This window comes from Homo sapiens, chromosome 8, assembly GCF_000001405.40.
Source record: "Homo sapiens chromosome 8, GRCh38.p14 Primary Assembly".
Lineage (NCBI taxonomy): Eukaryota > Metazoa > Chordata > Mammalia > Primates > Hominidae > Homo > Homo sapiens.
Genome location: NC_000008.11, coordinates 113,289,071 through 113,314,567, shown reverse-complemented (window position 1 = coordinate 113,314,567; position 25,497 = coordinate 113,289,071). Strand labels below are relative to the sequence as shown.

Here is a 25,497-nt window from a genome sequence, read left to right as displayed (position 1 = left end):
AGTGTGTTTTGAATGGAAGACTGGAGAGAAAATATTTCCTGGGTAAAAGTAGTTTATTTTACAAAAGATGCTTAACATTTGTGATGCAATTATAATAAAGTTGTATTCACCATCTAATTATTATTTATTTGAAAATATATCATCCCATGAACAAATTAGCTTGGTGTCTCTGATGTCATATTGCTAGTACATTAATACTATGTCTCACAAAGGTGAATATATATTGAGTGGTGATCTCTTTATAGTGGCTAAAGGTATTTTGTTTTTAAAAATGATTATCTCAAGGTTTCATTCATTATGGATATAACTTTTGATAAAGTAAAACATACTATATAAGGTATATTTCAGTGATAATATGTCCAATTTTAATATACAACACTATGCAAAAACACCTTAAGTCAGCATTCATGAATAGTAGAATAAATTAATTTCTGATAATGTGTGTAGTTTATAAAATCTAAATATCTGAAAACTACATACTTTCATGTCAAAAATGGGGTCATTTATATTTTTGCCTCTATAAATGAAAGTGTTTTTTGAAGCTTATTGATTAAACAGATGTAAAAATTAACTAGCACCCTGACTATTTTTAAGGTAGTTCTTCTGGTTCTTCAGAATTTTCTCTTGGCAAAGAGGTTATGTAAAATTAGAAGTATTTTTGAGGTCTTACCAGAAACTTATTTTAGTTGTAAATCAACTATAATTCAACTAAAAAATTCAACATTCCAAGAATTGCACATTTTATTTAGTCCTAGATTTATGCCAGTGTTTGTATACTTTTCTTTAAGTGCCATAAGCTTTTTTAAACTTGTAATTTAAAATAGTCTAAGAAGGTAACATGTAGGAATTAAAGACTCTTTACATACTTGGCTATGTTTGAGTTATGATTCTCTGATGGTGTTACTTTCTAATAGTTGATAACATGTTCTTGCCTTCCTAATGTACAAGAAGCAGATTATCAGTGCTAACTTTTTACAGTTTCATCAGTCTTCCATATTCCTTTGCATTTATATTTTTTCAATTTTAAGTAAAAATTTAGTGTTTTAGTGAAACCCCGTCTCTACTAAAAATACAAAAAATTAGCCGGGTGTCGGGGCGGGCGCCTGTAGACCCAGCTACTTGGGAGGCTGAGGCAGGAGAATGGCGTGAACCCGGGAGGCGGAGCTTGCAGCGAGCCAAGATCGCGCCACTGCACTCCAGCCTGGGTGACAGAGCAAGACTCCGTCTCAAAAAAAAAAGAAAAAAGAAAGAATTAGTGTTTATTTTCCTCAAGTTTTGGCAATGAAAAACATAATGTAGTGGGGAAAATGGTGGATCTGGAGATGAGATTTATTACATTAGGATGTTAGGTTTGTTGCTCACCAGCTTTTTGAGCAATCTACGCTACCTCTGTTTAAACTGAGAGATGGTAGTAAGGCCGGTTCTAGCCATCTCATTATACTGTTCTGCAGGTATTACGAGAAAATGTGTATGAACCTGCTGCATGTCTACAAAATCCTATTAGAGCACATCGAACTGCTTCCAGTCAGATGACACTTAAAAATGCCTGAGTTATTTCACAAACTTTGTTGTGCAAAAACAAGGTTACTAGGTTGATTACAGCTAAGATTCTATTTTTCTTTCTTTTTTTCCTCTATACTCGTTTACCGAGTAAATCTGATTTCTTTTTCCTTTTACATTGTAAACTCATACATAAACTTTTACATTGTAACTCATACAATAATCATCTATTTTATAAATATACATTATGGTACGCACGTCTGACTGCTGTTTGATCATCATTGCCACTGTCATTAAAAGCTGGTGTCTTTTGTTAATGCAAATAATACCTATAAGTGGAAGTACAATTTTTTACACTGGCAATCTGTGGGATATAATTTTCCTAAATATATAAAAATACTTCTTTCAATATTACCTGTTAGTTTCAAAGTATCAATTCCCTGATAGTAATGCTTGTACATGTACCTATTCTCTCTAGATTGCCTTGAAAATGAGAAAACACATTTTTATTTTTCCTCTTTCCTGCTTTTCTAAACAACTGTGGCCTCTGGGAAGTTAAAAAATTGCGAAGTTAGGAAAATAAATTTATTGTTCTCATTCTTTCTTTCCTAATCTGTAAATTGGGAATAATAGCACTTAATTCACAGAGATTTTATGGGGAATACAATATAATGAAAGCTCAGTGACTCTAACCCTTAACATTTATTGAATGATTCCTCTGCACCTGTCACTGTGCTATGTATTTTGTGTTCATTATGGTATTTAACTTCTCCTGTATCCAAACAATGTAAAATAATTACTATTATCATCATCATTTTACAACTGATAAAATGAGGCTTGAATTGATTGCCCGAGTAAAATTTTTGAAAGTGGCAAAAGGCAGAACTATCATTACAATTCAGATTTGTTTAGTTTAGATCTGAAGCTCTTCAATATATATAATTCTATGTAGTTAGACACAATCTCCAAAGTTTATGTATTGATATATAAATAAAAATCTATTTTTTCTTAGCAGTATTGGATCAAATTTAGTAAGAGAAATAATAATAAAAGGTATATTTTCAAACAGGTGTAATATATACAAATATAAACCGAAAGGTAAGCTACAAATTTATTTTTCCTATTTATTTTATAGACTATATTCATACATGTACTCTATTTATACAAGCAAAATGACAAGACTATATTCTAACATGTAGTCTATGTTATAATATAGTCTTTAGAGTCTAATGTTTTGCTCACTGTAAACATTTAACACATTTATTGGTTTTTGTGCTTCAAGAAGTACTGTAGTTAATGTTATAGCTGACTTTAGTTAGCAAGACTGGAAAGAAAAAAATTAGTATGTAACCTACAGCCCGTTCCAGACTGTGTTTATATACAAAATCTGCTGTTTGATTAGAAGTCGAAACTGCTGCTGGCAGAGTTTGATTCATATTTGCGTCTGGCTGTTTGACTCACTGTTTTCTTGGGTTTTGTTTCTCTCATATTGGATCATATTCTCACTTAATGCATGTCCTTATGGTGTGTTTGCTGTTCTCTTTCTTCCAGAAATTGATATTTATTTTTTTTACTTTTCATGAGCTCCAATAGATTTTTTAAAAATGGCTTCTTACACTTGTCTTGCAATAATGTAGGAAAAAAAATGGTTTGTGGGTCTTGTCATTCTTGCTTGTATAAATAAACACACTGGGATTCATAATCAGAATTTCATATTTTAAAAACTGTACTCTAAGCCTCCAATGATTAATGATATTACTTGTTTTTCTGTAAGTTATTTTTTATTAAAAGAGAATTGATATTGGCAAAGCACCGTTAGATAATTTCTTTCTTAATCATAATTTTATCTTAGAACAAGTGCTGATGCATTTAAGGCAACATTGCTGGAAGCATAAAGGTTATTCTAAGCCTTGTTTATTTTACATTAATATTATATTTTCCGAATAATAAACTTATACCAACAAGTAAAAAATCACCTATTATTTAATGAGGCAGAGACAGATATATTTACCCAGGATCATTCCATATATGATATTGTATGTCCTTAATAATCTCTCTACATTATAATGTACATGTCTAATGTGTGATTAGAATCTTTGTAAACATTAATTTATTGAATTTGTTAAGTATATTTAATCATTTTATGTAAGCATTAATTTATGCAAATATTTAATCCTGTGGATATAATTTATGTAATTATCATTCTATTATATTTTTGTTTTTTCTTTTATAATTAATTCACGTATTAGCATCCTTATGAATATATATTTTCTATATTTTAGATTGGTTCTTGGTAGAAACAGGATGTCTAGGTCAGAAGCAAATAATATTCTTTATATTACTAATATGCTTTCCAGAATCTTATATCAATGAATATTATTACAACTAGAAAACTATACTTCATTACCTCTCAGTCTTCCCAGACTTACATCTTTTATTCTTAATTTGATTATTTACATATATCTGATTTTTATAGATATTTAACATATTCTCTTGTTTGATAACCATGCTGGTTTTCTCCTGTAATTTATTTTTTGTCTATGTATCAATATTTTTCTTGATGATTTACATAATTCATTTATTCTTAAACATGTAAATATTTCCTTTTTGTGACAAAAATATTTCTCAGCTTCTTGGTTGCTTGTTAAATCTTAGCTGTTTTTTCTGCACAAATAAGTGAAGAATTTTAAAATTTTTATATGATATATATTATCCATTTATTTAAAGATTCATTTCATTTCTTTTAATGTTACAAAGTCAAGAGCTAGATGTTTTATAAATTCTCATTTTTAAATTCCTTTTCCTAATTTTTAACATGTACAACCTTAATACATATGAAATATTATGGAATGATAATCTTTTCTCAAAGTGGAAGAGAATGATTATTTCTAAATAACCAACGTAGTAGTATAGTTATTTTTTAAAAGACTTGAGTACAAAAACTTTTATTTAGTGTGACTCCTGACATGTTACTCTGGTCTCCTCATTGCTACTTTGATATGGCCTATCACTTTGGATGTTTGGCTGTAACAGAAATCCTGACTTACTGTAGCTTAAACAAAAAATTTATTTTTCTTATATAACAAGAAGTTTGTTATTATACAGTTCATCAGTAAATCAAAAGCTTTCCCAAAAGTCCTTAGAAGGATTCTTCTCCTATATCATTGGCCAGAACAGCCTGACATCACCATCCCTTGGTCAACAGTATTCTAGAAAAACAGCTTTCATTTTCAACCTCAGTTGTGGAAAACAGCATGGAGAAGACTGAGGGCCAGGCAACTGACAAAATCTATCACAATATCCAAAGCTTATTTTTTGGATATTTTGATAGGTAAATAAATAAATATTATTTCTAAATAAATTGTTTCCAAAGTTGTGATTTAAAAACAGGGAGTAATTATCACAAGGTCATAGTCATGGTGTAGTAATGACTGCAACATAAACTTCACTTTCCTGAGTTATATAAACGTCCATGGATTAGAAATGTTAAAAACAAATGGATAGGTAAAGATAAAATCAAATGTAAGTGTAAGTGTTAACATAACACAAAATCTTAAGGCGGAGGCAGATAATAAAAAAGTAAATATCACATGTTCTCACTTATAAGTGAGAGCTAAACATTGGGTACTCATGGACATAAAGATGGCAACAATAGACACTGGGGACTAATAGTGTGGGGAGGGAGCGAAGGAAGCATAGGCTGAAAAACTGTCATGTACTATGCTTACATCTGGGTGATAGGATCATTCACGTCCTAGGGCTTGGCATCATGCAGTATACCCATGTAATGGACCTGCACATATACTCTCTGAATCCAAGATAAAAGTTGAAATTATAATAAAATCATTAAAAAAAAGAAAAAACTTTGGGAGGCCAATGGCTGGAGCTCGGGAGTTTGAGACCAGCCTGGGCAACATGGTGAAACCCCATCTCTACAAAAAATACAGAAAAATTAGCTGGGTGTGGTGGCCTGTGCCTGTAATCCCAGCTACTCTGGAGGCTGAGGTGGGAGGATTGCTTGAACCCAGGAAGCGGAGGTTGCAGTGAGCAGAGACTGCACCACTGCACTCCAGCCAGGGTGACAGAGCCAGACCCTGTCTCTAAAAACAAAACAAAAGAAAACAAAAAAACAAAAAACATCTGCCGTAAAGAAATTGAAAGCTGATTTTAATATGTTGGTTGATAAAAGACTATCTCTTAATTTCTTAAACTAAATAACATCCAGATGCATATATAAACTTTGTGGCTCTCTTTAACTTCTCCTTAAAGAGGGTCTACAGGTGGTAAAGTTCACTTATACGGGGTTGAAAACAATAATTATAACTTCTATGCCATTAAAATAAAAGACAAAGGAAGTATAAGCTATCACATCATTAAAAAGAATTAATTATCAAAATAGAACGATACAGATACAGAAATATGAGTTCTAAATATTGAACAATATACCAAATTATAATTCATTACAGATTTTATGACTGTATACATAAGAAAGCTTAAATGGGCAGGGCGCGGTGGCTCACGCCTGTAATGCCAGCACTTTGGGAGGCCGAGGCAGGCGGATCACGAGGTTAGGAGATCGAGACTATCCTGGCTAACACAGTGAAAGCCCGTCTTTACTAAAAATACAAAAAATCAGCCGGGCGTGGTGTTGGGCGCCTGTAGTCCCAGCTACTGGGGAGGCTGAGGCAGGAGAATGGCGTGAACCCGGGAGGCGGAGCTTGCAGTGAGCCGAGATCGCGCCACTGCACTCCAGCCTGGGTGACGGAGCGAGACTCCATCTCAAAAAAAAAAAAAAAAAAAAAAAAAAAAGACTTAAATGATTTACTGGATATTTATAGAACTAAAAAGAAAAATTAATGTGTTGCTACATGTCAATATCTCATCAATCATCATTAAGAAAAATCACAAAATATATTATATTGCAAATAATAGCAAAATTTTGTAATATGTTGAGAATAAATTCCCCAAGTATGAAACAGAACTTAGAATTAAAAAAATTGCAGTCTATTGCAAAAACACATAAAGTTGTAAAATAGAGAAACACTCTATAGCCATGGGTAAAATGAACTTTTTAAAGCTCTCATTCTGTGAAATGAGATGAGTCAAAATGTTTGGTTATTAGGTAGATATAGATTTAATATCATAAGAAAAAACTGCCAAATAGCTTTTCTAAGCTGTGTACGCATTTTGTACTTCACCATCACTGTATGAGAATTCTAAATGCTCCACACCTTTGTTGACATTTGAGGTTGTCAGCATTTATTGTGGTATTATTTTGCACTTTTGTGATGCCTAATAATATTGAGCATGTGCTTATCAACCATTTATTTATGAAGAGTTTGTTCAAATATTTTGTCTATTTTTTTAATTGGGTTGTTTGCTTAGTCTTGATGTATCAAATTATAAGGATCTTTGCAATCTTTATAGCATTTATTTGACAAATACATGCATTGCAATTATTTTCTTCCAATCTGTTACTTGCTCTTTCATTTTCTTACATTATCTTTGCATGAGTTAAGGTTTCTAATTTTAACAAAGTCCAAATTATTAATATTATATTTTGTTAGTGCTTTCTGGTAGTACAATAAATATTTGCTTATCCAAAGATGGAAAGATATCCTGTATTTTCTTCTGAAGGTTTAGAGTGTTAGCTTTATATTTAGATCTGTGATTCTTCTTGAAGATGTGAAGGAGTCTAAGTTCATTTTGTTCTATTTAAGCATTAAAGTGAAGAAGAATTAAGGTGTACATTTTAAGGAATCCTAGAAATAACAACTTAATAAATTATGTGTCCTAGCTGGCTGCCTCTGGACACAATTATAATAAAGCATGTTTCAAGTACATTCTTAAAAGTATTACTTGATAAACTAAGTTTTTTCCAGAAAAGGCTAGGCCTTATTTTTTATCTGTATTTCTACAGTAATATTACTCTTCTCCCTCTTTGGATTTTTACTTTGTGACTATATATAATATTTTTATACCTTCTTGGTCATTATTCTAGAATATATTTCATTACCATGGCTAAATTATCTGAACTTTATATATTCCTTTATTAAATATCAATTCTTTACCCAGTATTTTTTTTTCTTGATACGTTGAGGGATTTAAAATATGTAACATTCTGTCACAATTCATATTTATTATACAAACTTGATGGATTGTTGTCATAACCATAGAATTCAAAAGCCTAATGGACATAATTAAGGAACAGAAATTAGAGTGAATAAACCATCTGTAGCTTGAATTCCCACTTGTGTAATTGTTAGACCATTTCTTTTTGGTTCTTTATAATTAACATATAACAAGTAGACCTTTTCTCCTTCAGAAAATGTTGGCAGCATCCCCATAAATGTTTTTGAGCAGCCACTACACTTATTTTCTTACATGGTTAGTATTTCTTCTCTCCTTTGCTCCCTCAATGTCCCATAGAACTTCCTAATACTCACAATTAAAATCTTTCCTCACTATACTTGATGCCTCTTTTAATGCCATGCAATAATCTGTTTCCTTTCCTGTAGGCATAATGTTGAGGTAGAGAATGACTTTCCATGAAAATTATCCAAAAATATCTAAATGCCTTAGGTCATAGAAACAAATGACCAGAGGGTAGTTTTATTTTATGTCAGTGCACTCCAGTGATTTAACTCTACCTGATGACATTGTCTCGCATGTCTCTATCTCCAAGTTTTCCTAAAGATTACATTGAGAGTGATATAACTCAATCCAATTAGCTGACGATAAAGATTTCTCCCTTCAGAGTTGGAACCAACCCTTGTGTACTGATTCTCTCTCTTATATAATAAAACATCTGGGAAACGCAGAGGCTCTACTGTCTGACTCAATGGCATAGAGTGATTGCGTGTATAGCTGTGTGCTGAAATGACATATGTGATATTAACAACTATAATAATAGTTATTATTTATTATTTCTCAATAAATAAGAAAAGCAATACTAGAGTTTTGTTATTTATCTATAATATTAATGAGACACACCAAGTGACAAAGTGAACTTTGCTTACTGTTGGTTCAACTATGACCTCAGTCATAGCCTTGTATAAAACACATACCCCAGGAAACAGAAGCTGAGTGTAGAAATGCATTTTTCTATATACAAACTTGAAAATACCATTATATTGTGTTTAGTATCCCCCTACCTAATACTTTAATTTACAAAAGACTTACTGCATTGCCATTGGGCATTGGGCATGCAAGTGAATTAGAAAAAAAGCCAATTAAAATTTTGATGCATCTTAGGCAGTTAATGATTATTCTCTTTAGTTATCATTACTTACTTTGGAGCATTCAAATTAATGATTGCATAGATCTCAAGGACAGATAGGATTTCTAAAACTTTTGGTCAACATAAAAGGCTCTTTCAAATCTGACTAAGGCAAGGATTCCAGAGTATACACAACTATTTATTGTTTATACCAGGCATTTTGCCAAAAAGAAATGAGGTGGCTTTTAGTGAAGAAATAGACTAAATTAAACCATTAAAACTGGGGTTAAAAGATCAAACAAAAGATGACAATAAGCAAGTTTAAACACTTTGTTCCTTAGATTATATTTATTCAATCTTTTGTAGTAAATCTGTGGAAAGGTTTACTTCCATTAGCCTGCTTTCGGTAAAACAGCACTGATATCCTAAAAGCAAACTACACATGATGTTGTAATTGACTAAAAATATTTAATAAAATATTTAGTAAAGTGAAACTCACGCTCCATAAACATTCATTTTCTCTTTTTTTAAAAATTTATTTATTATTATTATACTTTAAGTTTTAGGGTACATGTGTACAATGTGCAGATTAGTTACATATGTATACATGTGCCACGCTGGTGCGCTGCACCCACTAACTCATCATCTATCATTAGGTATATCTCCCAATGCTATCCCTCCCCCCTCCCCCAACCCCACAACAGTCCCCAGAGTATGATGTTCCCCTTCCTGTGTCCATGTGTTCTCACTGTTCAGTTCCCACCTATGAGTGAGAATATGCGGTGTCTGGTTTTTTGTTCTTGCGATAGTTTACTGAGAATGATGATTTCCAATTTCATCCATGTCCCTACAAAGGACATGAACTCATCATTTTTTATGGCTGCATAGTATTCCATGGTGTATATGTGCCACATTTTCTTTTTTTTTTTTTTTTATTATACTTTAAGTTTTAGGGTACATGTGCACATTGTGCAGGTTAGTTACATATGTATACATGTGCCATGCTGGTGCGCTGCACCCACTAACTCGTCATCTAGCATTAGGTACATCTCCCAATGCTATCCCTCCCCCCTCCCCCGACCCCACCACAGTCCCCAGAGTGTGATATTCCCCTTCCTGTGTCCATGTGATCTCATAGTTCAATTCCCACCTATGAGTGAGAATATGCGGTGTTTGGTTTTTTGTTCTTGTGATAGTTTACTGAGAATGATGGTTTCCAATTTCATCCATGTCCCTACAAAGGACATGAACTCATCATTTTTTATGGCTGCATAGTATTCCATGGTGTATATGTGCCACATTTTCTTAATCCAGTCTATCATTGTTGGACATTTGGGTTGGTTCCAAGTCTTTGCTATTGTGAATAATGCCGCAATAAACATACGTGTGCATGTGTCTTTATAGCAGCATGATTTATAGTCCTTTGGGTATATACCCAGTAATGGGATGGCTGGGTCAAATGGTATCTCTAGTTCTAGATCCCTGAGGAATCGCCACACTGACTTCCACAATGGTTGAACTAGTTTACAGTCCCACCAACAGTGTAAAAGTGTTCCTATTTCTCCACATCCTCTCCAGCACCTGTTGTTTCCTGACTTTTTAATGATTGCCATTCTAACTGGTGTGAGATGATATCTCATAGTGGTTTTGATTTGCATTTCTCTGATGGCCAGTGATGATGAGCATTTTTTCATGTATTTTTTGGCTGCATAAATGTCTTCTTTTGAGAAGTGTCTGTTCATGTCCTTCGCCCACTTTTTGATGGGGTTGTTTGTTTTTTTCTTGTAGATTTGTTTGAGTTCATTGTAGATTCTGGGATATTAGCCCTTTGTCAGATGAGTAGGTTGCCAAAATTTTCTCCCATTTTGTAGGTTGCCTGTTCACTCTGATGGTAGTTTCTTTTGCTGTGCAGAAGCTCTTTAGTTTAATTAGATCCCATTTTTCAATTTTGTCTTTTGTTGCCATTGCTTTTGGTGTTTTGGACATGAAGTCCTTGCCCATGCCTATGTCGTGAATGGTAATGCCTAGGTTTTCTTCTAGGGTTTTTATGGTTTTAGGTCTAACGTTTAAATCTTTAATCCATCTTGAATTGATTTTTGTATAAGGTGTAAGGAAGGGATCCAGTTTCAGCTTTCTACATATGGCTAGCCAGTTTTCCCAGCACCATTTATTAAATAGGGAATCCTTTCCCCATTGCTTGTTTTTCTCAGGTTTGTCAAAGATCAGATAGTTGTAGGTATGTGGCGTTATTTCTGAGGGCTCTGTTCTGTTCCATTGATCTATATCTCTGTTTTGGTACCAGTACCATGCTGTTTTGGTTACTGTAGCCTTGTAGTATAGTTTGAAGTCAGGTAGCATGATGCCTCCAGCTTTGTTCTTTTGGCTTATGATTGACTTGGTGATGCGGGCTCTTTTTTGGTTCCATATGAACTTTAAAGTAGTTTTTTCCAATTCTGTGAAGAAAGTCATTGGTAGCTTGATGGGGACGGCATTGAATCTGTAAATTACCTTGGGTAGTATGGCCATTTTCACGATATTGATTCTTCCTACCCATGAGCATGGAATATTCTTCCATTTGTTTGTATCCTCTTTTATTTCCTTGAGCAGTGGTTTGTAGTTCTCCTTGAAGAGGTCCTTCACATCCCTTGTAAGTTGGATTCCTAGGTATTTTATTCTCTTTGAAGCAATTGTGGATGGGAGTTCACTCATGATTTGGCTCTCTGTTTGTCTGTTGTTGTTGTATAAGAATGCTTGTGATTTTTGTACATTGATTTTGTATCCTGAGACTTTGCTGAAGTTGCTTATCAGCTTAAGGACATTTTGGGCTGAGATGATGGGGTTTTCTAGATAAACAATCATGTCGTCTGCAAACAGGGACAATTTGACTTCCTCTTTTCCTAATTGAATACCCTTTATTTCCTTCTCCTGCCTGATTGCACTGGCCAGAACTTCCAACACTATGTTGAATAGGAGCGGTGAGAGAGGGCATCCCTGTCTTGTGCCAGTTTTCAAAGGGAATGCTTCCAGTTTTTGCCCATTCAGTATGATATTGGCTGTGGGTTTGTCATAGATAGCTCTTATTATTTTGAAATACGTCCCATCAATACCTAATTTATTGAGAGTTTTTAGCATGAAGGGTTGTTGAATTTTGTCAAAGGCTTTTTCTGCATCTATTGAGATAATCATGTGGTTTTCTCATCAGTAAAATGGCATAATCGAAGTGACCATTTGATAATCTTACAGAAAGCATATTAATGTTCTCATAAATGTAAATGTTTTTAGTAACAAAATTTTTACATAATTAATATGAGCTCGTAAATAAAATGTTTAGATAAGACATTTTAGATTAACTCTTCAAATTCATTTAGTTGTGTTAATATTTGATATTCTGAAGGAAGGTACATATACTCTGTATCTGTTAAAAACTAACATTCTCTGAATACATACTCTGTCAGGCTATTCATATACAATTCTCATAACATCATTTCAGATATTCTTCCTAATATTTTTTATTATTATATTATATTATTATATATATAATATATATATTATATTATATTATATATTATAATTATATATTATATATATTTTATATAATATATATTATATTATATATTATATTATATTATATATACAGGTGAGAAAATAAAATCTCAAAAGTATTGATATCTGTTTCAAGATCAAAAACAGGATTTCAAGAGACTGAAGTGTGAACATAAATAGGTTCGAGCACAGCTCATTAATTGTATTTATTTGCATTTTTCAACTATAGCATTTTTGGAGTGATGAATAAGAAGACTTAAGCCAGGCAACCATAAAATCAGATAAATTTATTGAATTATTTCATTGAGTCATTTTACTAAATATAAATTAAAATGTCACAAAGGTTAAAGGGTATAAGAAAAGTGGTCACATTTATATCAGGGTCCACTTAAAAATCTCATGTATATGACCTATTTTCTGTTAAAACGTGACATACATCTGAAGGATATTGTGCCATCAAATAATCATGTAAAAAGGGGACTTTTCCTTCATAGATGTTCAAGTTTGATGTTATAAAGTTATTTAAAAGATACTGAACCCATACAGAAAAATAATTAAATTTATCAACATAAAAATATATATAATTAAGTTTACAGTCACCCAGTTTGTTTTCAGAAATACTAAAGGCTTTTCAGTTGTATTTTTAAATGATATTTTTAGAGAAAAAAATCACAAGTGTCACATATATATAGCAGGACAGATAGAAGAACTAAAATGTATAGAATATAGACCCTTGCCACAGCCACTGCCTACATTTTTGTGGTAATTAAAAAAAAACATAAACTAATCAGCAACCTCATTTCATTCATTTTAAGGTTATGTTTTCTAACTATAACAGTCAAATTATATCTGAGTGAGATGTGATTATTTAAAAAAATGAAAATATATAAAACAGTTCATTGCCATAATATATTTATTAGAATACTAGCGTTAACTCTTTATTGCATCCATTTATCTTGCCATATAAATTTTCTATATTCTCTATTACTATATTTTAAGAATACAATTTATTCATAATAATATATAAGTCTGTAACATACACATTGTGAAGTGCTTTATTAAAATCAGCACCAATAAGCCTACCACTAAACAAGGATGCTGCTCACATTTTGTTTCATTTGTATCCCATCCTCTCCTTGCTCTGACTTCACCCTACCAGTAACAAGCACCTCCATGTTGTGGTCATTTTTAACTTTTTTCGAAATTATACTTTAATCATACATGAACATGTATGAATCATACATGAACATCCCTAAGCAACATCACGTTTAATTATGTTAATTTGTAAGATTTATAAAATATATATCATCCCATTTAGTTTTCTGGGACATGCTTTTTTTGGCTCAACCTTATGTTTCTAAGAGTTATCCATGCTGTGGCATATTGCTGTAGTTCATTTTCACTCATTTTAACTCAATTGTATGCATTTGTCACACTTGTATAATAAATATCGTGCCCTTTTTAAATTTTTGAATTCAGAGGATATATGTGCAGGGTCATTACATGGGTATATTGCTTGCTGCTGAGCTTTGGGATACATATAATCCCATCACCAAGGTGTTGAGTATAGTACTTATAGGTAGTTTTTCAGCCTATATTCCCACCCTCCTTCCCCTATCTAGTAGTTCCCAGTATCTATTGTTCCCATCTGTATGTCTGTGCATCTTCAGTGTTTAACTCTTCCTTACAAGTGAGAATATGTGGTATTTGGTTTTCTGTTCTTGCATTAATTTGCTTAGGATAATGGCCTCCAACTGTATCCAGGTGGCTGCAAAGAACATGATTTCATTCTTTCTTATGGCTGCACAGTACTTCAGGGTGGATATGTATCACAATTCCTTTAACCACATAACTGTTGATGCATGCTTAGGTTGGTTCCATGACTTTGCTATTGGGAATAGTACTGCAGTGAACATACATGTGCAGGTATCATTTTTATAGAATGATTTTTTATAGAATTTTCCTTTGAGTGGATATGCAGTTGTGGAATTACTGAGTTGAATGGTAGTTCTACATTTAGTTCATTGAGAAATCTCCACGTGGTTTTCCATAGAGGTTGAACTAATTTACATTCTCATGAAAAATATATGTGTTCCCTTTTCTTCGCATTCACACCAACATCTGTTGTTTTTTTTTTTTTTTTGACTTTTTTGAGACAGAGTCTCACTCTGTCACCCAGGCTGGAGTGCAGTGGTGCCACATTGGCTTACTGCAGCCTCCGCCTCCTGGGTTCAAACAGTTCTCCTGCCTCAGCCTCCCAAGTAGCTGGGACTGCAGACATGCACCACCATGCTTTGCTAATTTTTTTTTTTTTGAGATGGAGGCTTGCTCTGTCACCCAGACTGGAGTGCAGTGGCGTGATGTCGGCTCACTGCAACCTCTGCCTCTGGGTTCAAGCGATTCTCCTGCCTCAGCCTCCCGAATAGCTGGGAATACAGGCATGTGCCACACACCTAGCTAATTTTTGTATTTTTAGTAGAGAGGGGTTTCACCAGGTTGGCCAAGCTGGTCTTGAACTCCTGGCCTCAAGTGATCCATCCACCTCAGCTTCACAAAGTTCTAGGATTACAGGCATGAGCCACTGTGCCCAGCTGTTTTTTGACTTTTTAAAAATGGCAATTCTGACTGGTGTAAGATGTTATCTCATTGCGGTTTTAATTTGCATTTCTCTGATGACTGGTGATGTTAAGCATTTTTTCATGTGTTTGTTGGCTGCTTGTACTTATTATTTACCACATCCACTAACATTCTGGTTTTTCTAGCCACTTTCTCTCCAATTAAAGGCTCAATATGCTTTTGATATGCCTTCAAAGTTATTGCAAACAAAAAATATATTGTGTTACTAACTGAATTCAATCTGATTTCTAGACCATGGAATCTGTTTCCTCAACCCCCATTGACTACTTAGGCAGGGCAACATATTTTATGCTTTTATTATAGCAATATAACACAAATAGCTATTCTACACATATTTTTCAAATAAGCATGAGCAGCAAAAAAAGGAAAGGAAAATAATTCTAGAATTAACACTATCTTATTTACAAATTATTAAATATTCTACATTAAAAATAAGATATTACTAAGAATGCAGAACAAACCCATGAGTAATCTCTGAGATAGTCAGTTGAAACCAAATTGGTTATTATGTATTTATCCTTTATCATACAGACAAATCTTTCTAAAAAGTATTGTTGAGCACGCTTTTGGCTAATATTTATAGCAGCACTGATTGGCTCAATGCACTTGTGAGCCAGAGGGACATGTGAGTTCTTTACCAGAAGAAATACATTTTTCTGTCTCTGTTAGACTACAGTATAAAAATTAATATGTATTCAATAAGAAAATATTCAGTGAAATATTTTTTACTCCTATCTTCCTTCAACAAATATGAACAATCCATGGACACAATGTTTTGATATAGGCATTGTGTGCAGATCGCTGCTCTAGGGATCTCGCTCCTTCTTACCTTCCTGTTCCTCAGTCTCTACTGTTTGCTATCCTTTCTGTGACCCTCATCTCTAGCCAGACCTTGAACTCTGCTTTGTGAGTTTTTCATCTCTGCTATGTCCTTCGGATTTTACCAAACATGTAACTAGTCTCTCCAAGCTCTCCTCCATCAGCTTCCCACCTTCCAAAAAGAAGCTACTACAAACAAACCTTCCTCTGTTATTTTGAGGTTTTCTTCTCTTGTCTTTGGATGATAAGAGAATATTAAAATAAGCAAGATATTACATTAAATGATGAGTACCTACTATCCTCTTGATTAATTCATAATTGATGCTCAATAAAATACTTGCTGATTTTAAGTTTAAAAGGAATATTTTATTATGAAACAGATTTAACAAATTAATTTGCTTCTTAATTTTGAGGTCAATAATGAAAATAAAATGTTGAAAATGATTATATCAATTTACAGTTGAAGTGCTAATGTTATAAAATGAATCCCACTATTATCATATCAATGTCTTGTTATTTTAGAAAAAAAACCTTATTTAGGTTAAAATACGTAAGTATTTTCAAAATATGTTTTGAGAGAAACCTAGCAGGATTAATATCCAGAATAAATAAAAATCATGGGGGAAAATTTTTCACATAAAATCTTCATTTTTATTTTTCAACACCAACCTAACTATATTCCTATCATATCTTCCACATCCAATTTAAAAATTAAATTTTAATTATAGTATTAACCTTATTTTTATACCTTCTAATTGCTCTTACTATTCTCTATTATTTGACATTGTGCAAGTTCACACAGCTAATATTGTACTTACTGTGTGTTGTATCAAAGCCTGTTGATTAAATATATCCAGCTTTACTGTGTATCAACAAATTTTAATTTGCTACATATTGTCTCTTCTGCTTAATCACATCTAAATTTGTGTTTTAATAAAAGCAGAAATTTGATATTTTTCTACAAGATTTCGGAATAACTAAATGTGTCAGTCAGGTGCATGTTACATAAAACAATGACTTTGAATTTCCATCATGGTAAAACGTCTATAGTTGTTTGAAATTAAAATGTGTTTCTTTATCAAAAAATATACAAAAAGTAAATATATAACTAATTAATATGACCAGCTCTTGGTGTTGAATAGGCTGAATAGACTATGAATCTTTTTGGTTAGGAGCAGCTATATTTGTCTTTGTATGTCTGATACTTAACATAATACTATTATGATATAAATATTCTGTAATATTTGCCTAATGAGTGGATCAGAAATGACTACTAGTTTAAATAAAATAGCATTTTTAGATTACTAATTAGTCCAGATTAAACTAAATGTTTTCTTGGTATGATTAATTGGAGTAATTTATTGTTCCCATCTGATTTACTACTGCATCAAATTGTTAGGTAAATTTTTCATATTTCAGTTCTCGTGGTTAACTTTGATGTTTTCTATGAACAATTTCTAACATGAAATTCCAAAGTTTCCATCAAATTCCAAGTAAAATATTTTCATTCATAATACTGACAGTATGTATTGACAGTTAATGTGCGACCAGATTCTAGTATGTTTACCCTTTAACAAATACTGTACTGACTTAAACACTATAGTTTTATGATAGGTATTGAGACCTAATAGAGTATCTTATCTATATTTCTAGCACCTAATTTCATAATAGCTACGTGGAAATTCTTTTCTTTAGTTTAATATATTAACTTAATAAAACAATTTAATTCAATATATACAAATAACACAATATTTTAACAAAATGTTTTGCTTTTTCTGATCAAGCATTGATATACTTTTCTTACAGCATACAAGAAAGGACAAACATAAATAATGTTGTGTTTAACTTTATGAGAAAGTAGCATGACCCTGTATCTGCCCATTACCACCTTCTATAAATGCTTTATTTTTTCGCTTGTGTTTACAAGGATGCAACTTGAAGCCACTAAATTTTTTATCTAGTTGTTTTCTGGAAGTTTATATTTGATAGAATGCAGAAAAATGGTTTTCGTGATGGGGCAACTATTTGGAACTACGAATTAGAGACAATGTTGGCTGGTTTTCTGACGTGTAGAGATCGTGTGTTTTCTAACCAAGAAACAGAAGGAGGAAAGACAGTTTCTCTCTGCCAACTTTTTGGTATTCTCTATATCTGATAACATAACATTCATGGGACACTAATTGCCCTGTTAGGGTCAATTCTATTGTTCTTCTCATGAAAATCCCTTCTAGAATCTGGTCACACATTTACTTTCAACAAATATTTTATTTGGATGTTTCAGAAGCTCTCTTTCTGTTTTGTTTGTTTGTTTGGTTGGGTTTTTTTTGAGACAGAGTCTCGCTGTGTTGCCTGGACTGGTGTGCAGTGGCACAGTCTTGACTCACTGCAACCTCTGCCTCCTGGGTTCAAGCAATTCTCTCCTGGTGTGTTAGCTTCCTGAGTAGCTGGGACTACAGGCATGTGCCACCTCAACCAGTTAATTTTTTGTATTTTAGTAGAGATGTGGTTTCACCATGTTGCCCAGGCTGTTCTATTATTATTATTATTATTATTATTATACTTTAAGTTCTAGGGTACATGTGCACAATATGCAGGTTTGTTACATATGTATACATGTGCCATGTTGGTGTGCTGCACCCATTAACTCGTCATTTACATTAGGTATATCTCCTAATGTTATCCCTCCCCTCTCCCCCAACCCCACAACAGGCCCCAGTGTGTGATGTCCCCCTTCCTGTGTCCATGTGTTCTCATTGTTCACTTCCCACCTATGAGTGAGAACATGCAATGTTTGGTTTTTTGTCCTTGCGATAGTTTGCTGAGAATGATGGTTTCCACCTTCATCCATGTCCCTACAAAGGACGTGAACTTATCCTTTTTTATGGCTGCATAATATTCCATGGTGTATATGTGCCACATTTTCTTAATCCAGTCTATGATTGTTGGACATTTGGGTAGGTTCCAGGTCTTTGCTATTGTGAATAGTGCCGCAATAAACATACATGTGCATGTGTCTTTATAGCAGCATGATTTATAATCCTTTGGGTATATACCCAGTAATGGGATGGCTGGGTCAAATGGTATTTCTAGTTCTAGATATCTGAGGAATTGCCACAATCTGAGACCAAAATGCAATCACACTAGAACTCAGGCTGGTCTTGAACTCCTAAGCTTAGGCAATTCGCCCACCTGGGCCTTGCAAAGTGCGAGGATTAGAGGCGTGAGCTAACATGCTGGCCCTAGTTTTCTACTATTCTATTTTAAACTCACATATTTTCCAATCCACTAAATCGGCCTATTGCTAAATTTTTAACTTTATTTTATATCATTCTTTCTGCTCTACCTTTAGATAGCTAATATTTTAAAACAGTATTATTTTTTATGTTAATGTTCTTTGATGGGAAAACATTTTGTTCTTCTAATACTTAATTCTAAATGTCTGTCTTTTCTTCACCTTCATATTATATGTAAATTGTGGTGGCAATAGTGTTAAATTAGTAGAAAGAACATGAATTTTGGAGTCAGAAAAAAAACCTCTTTTGAATTATAGTTCTTCCACTAAACAAACAGGATTGAGCAAACCACTTAACCTTTCTACATGACAGGGTGATTACAGTCAACAATAATTTATTGTGCATTTAAAAATAACTATAAGAGTATAATTGGGACGTTTATAACAGAAAGAAATGATAAATGCTTGGGGTGATGAATGTCCCATTTACCATGATGTGATTATGGCTTATTATATGCCTGTTTCAAAATACATCATGTACCCCATAAATATATGCACCTGCTATGTACCCATTAAAAATAAAATGAAAATAAAAATAAACTTTATGGAAAATAAGGATATAAAACATGGCTATTTTTACAGTGTTTTGTGGATTAAATGTGTAAAACATTAACTCAGTACATGACACCCACATGATGTTTTACATAATCATTAGTGAGGATACTCTTGAAATCTTGGCTTCTATGACTCCGCATTACTATTTATGATGTTATGATTCTGTTCCTCATTTTCTCCTTCCGCAAGTCTGTAATTAGGATTGTCCTTTATTAAGGTGAATGTCAGTCACGCTGTAACTTATTTTTTTTCACAGTCAAATAGCTTAAAATGATAGTCAATATGGGCTACTATAGTTCCTCTTTTCCTATTTCTATTAATAAGCAATAAGTTAGATTTGTCACCTCACTGAAGCTACTCAGAACAAGGTGATTTTCTAATTATCAGATCCATAGATTAATTTTAAGCATTCACGTTAACTTCTTACATCAGAATAATTTGGATACACTCATTAAAAATTTAGCAAAACTAATTGAGAGTCCTCGCAGAACAGCAAAAAGAAAGTGGCCTAATTTCTGACTTTTCCGTTTGCTGACAATGTGGCCTTTAACGAGAAATTTATATTCTCATAGGCCTTTGTTTTCTTCATTTTCAAAATGGAATAATATAAATAAAGTCATGTATAGACATATATGTTATGGGAGATAATGAGATAATGTATGTTGAATGTTTGATTCATAGTAGAAACTTAATAACTGGTAGCATTTAACATTATTTCATTAGTTAAAATAATTATGCTGATTTAACATAAAAACAGACAAACTATTATTACATTAACATAAATAATTTAATTTTAAAAGCATCCTTGAATTTCCTTTTCAAGATAGTTTCATGTTCCTAATTAGCTAAAATTAAATTAAGTGAATCATATATATTTGGCAATGTAATTCTTAATGTAATACATGGTAACAAGAAGACATATCTAATGGCTCAGAGAGTACAGTGAGTTCTGATGTAAAACAGTATTTAGAATTCATTTAAGACTACCTAGATATAAATCCGGTTTCAATGGAGATAGAATATCATTTGTGGAAATATATTTTTTACTCAAGAAAAATAACACTTAAACCGTGATCTGATTTTATCATCAGTAAGGTAGTACTCAGTTAACTGTAACTAAATGTAAAGTATTTATCTATTAATTTTATTTCTTATATGTATTTTTCTTCCTACATCTTTGGTGAGAAAAATGAGAAAATTATTTTCTACCCATAAATAGCCACCTTCTTTAATTTCTGTTTCAAACTATGACTAGGAAAACAAATAGAAAGAATTTAATAAAGGGAACTTGTTATAAAAGAAGTGAAGAGATGAAAGCGGGTAAAGGAAAAGAAGTGATTCAGGAGTTATTTAGCAAAGAAAGAAAATATGGCTAGAGAGTGAGACCGAGGGATTGGGCTTTCCAGAATACAAAACAAACTGATTTCTGTGTGTGCCATGTACCATGCACTACTGTGGCACATAGTGGATATGGGAATGGGGGAGGACCATCAGCAGATGCTCACCCTATAGATGGGGAATCATATGGTCACTGCTGAACCACAAAGAGAGGGCTGCTGCCACCAAAGCAGGGATCCTCAAAGCAATACAGTCACTTCCACAGTTGCTACCAGAAGCAAATGAAGAGAAAGGAAGAGAGAAAGGAGAAATAATAGCTTCTCTCCACTTCTCAGTTTCTAATCTCCAAATTCAGGTTTTGGACATATGTCTGAGATGTGGATTAGATATCCAAGTGGGCACGTAAAATAGGAATCATATATATATATGTATATATATAAATATATATGTATACTTAAAGGTCAGGTAAGAGGTTATCTGAAGATAAAAATGTTTCACCTATGAGAGTATAGATGTTATAATGTTCAGAACTATATTACATAGTATAAATAGTAAAATTTTGTCTCTACCCATGTGCATATAACATAGCTAGAGTGAAGGTGTGTCATGGTTGCAATGATTTAACATTGGAACATCACAAAGATAATGTGTTTAGAAGGAATTTAAAATGGGACTCTAAAACAAAATGCCTGCTGGAACAGTTTGTTTGGTTGGTTGATAGGTTACAAAAATTTAGCAAAATTTTTTTTCATCTTTCTTCTCCCTACTTTCCCATCACTCCACCTTCTTTTCCTTCTCTGTTTTCATATTTTTAACATATTAGTTCATTTTTTATTAGGTTGGTGCAAAAGTAATTGAGGTTTTCACCTTTAAAAAATAATGGCAAATCCTCAATTACTTTTGCATCAACCTAATAATATTACCTCCAATGTAACTTGCTAAAATTGTCTGGCAACTGTTAATATAACTACTATGTTTAACAGCATGCCATCTCATATGTTACCTCAAAAATTACATTTTTGTCTCATTCACAAGCATATTTCAAATTCTCCAAAAAATCAGTGATACTTTTGTGTGTAAATTGTCTATTATTTTTTGTTCCCAAAGACTAATAAAAATAATTGATAATGCTTCTGCATATAATTGTCCAATTTACATTTACAAACAATTTTCTCTTCATAATATTTAGTTTCCAAATATGCACATCAGTACATAGTTTAAGAATATGCTTTTGTTTTATGTATATTTTTGTTGATCTAATGATAAAAAATATATTATTGAATTTTCTTAAATTTTTATCATTTACAAAATAGGATTGGAATATTTTGAATATAAATTAGTTTATGCACTTACGAACATGACTGTTTAATATTATGCTTGCCAATATTCTCTCTTTCAGAAATTCAATAACTTATAAATTTTTTATTTTACATTCTTGTCATCTAACTACACACCATGTAAGAATAAACTATTTCTATCATTCTTCTATTCCATCAAAATTGTACCCAAATTTCAGAGTTATATGGGTCCCCTAAAGAAAGAAATAATAATTACAAAGTAAACTGTAAACATTCTTTTAAACTAGGCATTATTAATTGAATACCTGGGACACATTAACAGTTATAAAATATGGTAAAATGCTAATTCCTAAACCTAGTGGATATTGGCTTAAAAACATTATGCAATTATTCTAATCTTGTCTGTGATGTGTAAGTAGAACTTCTACTTAGAAGTAAGTAGAAGTAGAACCTTGAAAAATGAAAATCTATCAAGGAAGTTACTTTTATTGTTATTTTCACTATAAAATACTCATTGACATTTGTCTATTGATATTTATTTTACTTCCTTTAGTTTTTTTGTGTAGAATACACACCTAGTTCAAACAAAATTTATTCCCTCTCTCTGACTTTATTGATGATTTCATATAACTTTGTGTACAGTCAATAACATATTTCTCTATTAAACCTTTCAGTATCTGATACACTGGTGGCTACTCGTAGGGGAACAAACATCTTGGGTTTCCAGGACAATGGTGGTTTCTTGTCTATTTCCATAGTGTAACTGAAAACGAGATGCTCTCAAAGGAATCCCAAATTAAAAAGTCTATCTACTAGCCTTATCGAAAGTAGTCAGTATTTTTTATTTCTTCCATCTAGAATCCATAATACCTTAGCTTTCCTTCTTACATAGAAACTTTATTAGCTTTTCAAAGAAACATGCAATTTTCCAATAACTGTCCTTAAATGCAGTGTTAAAAAGAAAATTTTAATTCCCCCAATGAAGTCCTATCGTAGTTATCATGAAAATGTTAAATGATTGAAATATTATGATGAGTTACTTTAATCTAATCACTCTGTTTTAATGCCATAATATTAGCTGACAGATAATGGGGAAAGTCACATGTATTATAGCAGACTTTTATGTTTAAAACAGATACATAATAGACAGCAAAACATTTATTGCAACTTCAAGTCATATTTCCATGGTTTTCAACAACTAAAATATATAGTTATTAGAGTTTACTAAAATATAATTAAATTGGCATTTCTCATATTAGTAAATCTCACATAAGTATCCCTAGAATGTTGAAAAATAGAACATTCAAATATATGAAGACATTATTATGTAATTATGTTTACTAGTATTTATTAACCTTAATTATTTTCAATATTGTGAAGTAGAAAATTTTATCATTTTATATTTATTATATAAATGGGTAATTTAAAAAAATACTTCATATAGAGTAAAAGAGCTTATAACAGTACAAGTAATTTATTATTTAATTTTAACCATTTTTCCAATTTAAATGTTAGAATATGGCCTATGATTATTATTTTAAAATAGTATAATAATTGACTGAATGGCTTTTCATGTGACAAGAAAATAATGATCATTTGAAAACACTAAATTAGTCCATAAATCATGTCTAAATTCATTAATTAGGTAAATGACCACATGTACGTTCCATGTCACTGCATTCTCATGTTAATGTTTTCTTTATGATGTATTCCAATGAAGACAGATTATACTTTTATTTAACCTAAAATGATTAGAAATAATATTTTGAGGTGTTATGTTATTTACCAGTTGTATTGGGATATATGCATGCATACACACAAATAAATAATCATCTCAGAGGGCAGTGGTGATAATTTTATAAGAAAGTGTTATTGGGCACAATGGAAACAATTAATGGCTATATGTATCTTGTAAGAGTAATTGTTATATTCTCAGTAACTTGTCTCTAATAGCTTTGTAAATAAAATATTGACTTAAAAACAGAATCAAAACTTTTCTGAAAAGGTTCTCCACACTCCTAAATTTTACAATGTCTAGATGAAACTATAGTAGTTTCTTTATCAAAACATCTTTAATCATCACTATCATAAGGCTTTATTCAAAATCTCCAATTGCAGTGCTCTTTGTATTTTATGTAAAATGTATCTCTTCTTAATATATTTTTTAAAAATATTTAAGTCAACAAAACTGGTAATGGAATAGATCCTCAGAAACATTCTATAATTATTTCAGATTAAAGAAATTATGATTCATCCTTACCATGGAACATATCACAAAGATTATTTATTATTTGTTGGCATAGATTGTATGTGCAAACCCTCTAATTACTGGAGGAAATTGACAAAGAAAATACCACATTATAATATATACATTTTAAATGCATAAAAAATAATAAAAGTTGTGTAAATTTCATGTTTTGCTAAAACCGAGAGTGGGTGCTAATTAATATTACCTTTCTGGGAAATAGAAGGAGCCATAAATTTTGAGTTAAATTCTTATTGTTGTGGACTGGATAAGTGGACCAAACAAAAAATTGTCAATATGGGAAATGCAAAGCATGCATTTGTAGAATCGTGTTTTTTGTTTTGTTTCAGTTTTTCCTTAATGAATATAGAGTACTTGTAAAGAAATACAGTAAAATTAACATGATAAAGTGTGTGCAATACTTTCTGATAGATATCTTTGAAATGCACCAAAAAAAGGTGGCAGGGTTTATGGGAGGAAGTCAGTTGACTCAATCTCAGTAATTGTAAGTTACTAAAGACACAGATGTATTTCTCTCTCTCTCTCTCTCTCTCTCTCTCTCTCTCTGTCTCTCTCTGTCTGTCTTCTAATTGAGAATCTTCATCAATGCTCTCACCTCTCTCTCGGTCATAATTTTTTTAAATTGACCTTAAATAAATAACTTGTGATGAGTCTTTACTAATTCTACATCCAAAAAGATCAAAAGTCATAGCAATGATAAACTTAGCAGAAAAAATAAACAACCTAGTAGAACACAATAGCATGTACTTGAAGAAATACTACATTTATCCCAAATACTCCAAGTTTGTTATAGCTATCAATAATGTAGTGCGTCAAGAAGAAAACTCTGAGTGGTGTGTGAAAGAATTCTCTAATTCTCAGATCTGTCATCTTTCTCAAGAGTAGCTAGTTTGCTAAATGCTTGGCATTGTTCTAAGTGATGTGCTTGTATTAACTTATTTAAACTTGACAGGGACTTAAAGGGAAGGTACCATTTCATCTACATTTTGCCACTGAGGAATCAGGAGAGGCAAGTAACCTGCCCAATGTC

General features: G+C 32.2%; 1 protein-coding gene across 9 annotated transcripts in view; it reads left to right on the top strand.

Annotated features, from left to right (window-relative positions):
• Positions 1-25,497, top strand: part of CSMD3 (CUB and Sushi multiple domains 3) — a 1,214,012-nt gene that overhangs the window by 122,372 nt on the left and 1,066,143 nt on the right. The window lies entirely within an intron of this gene.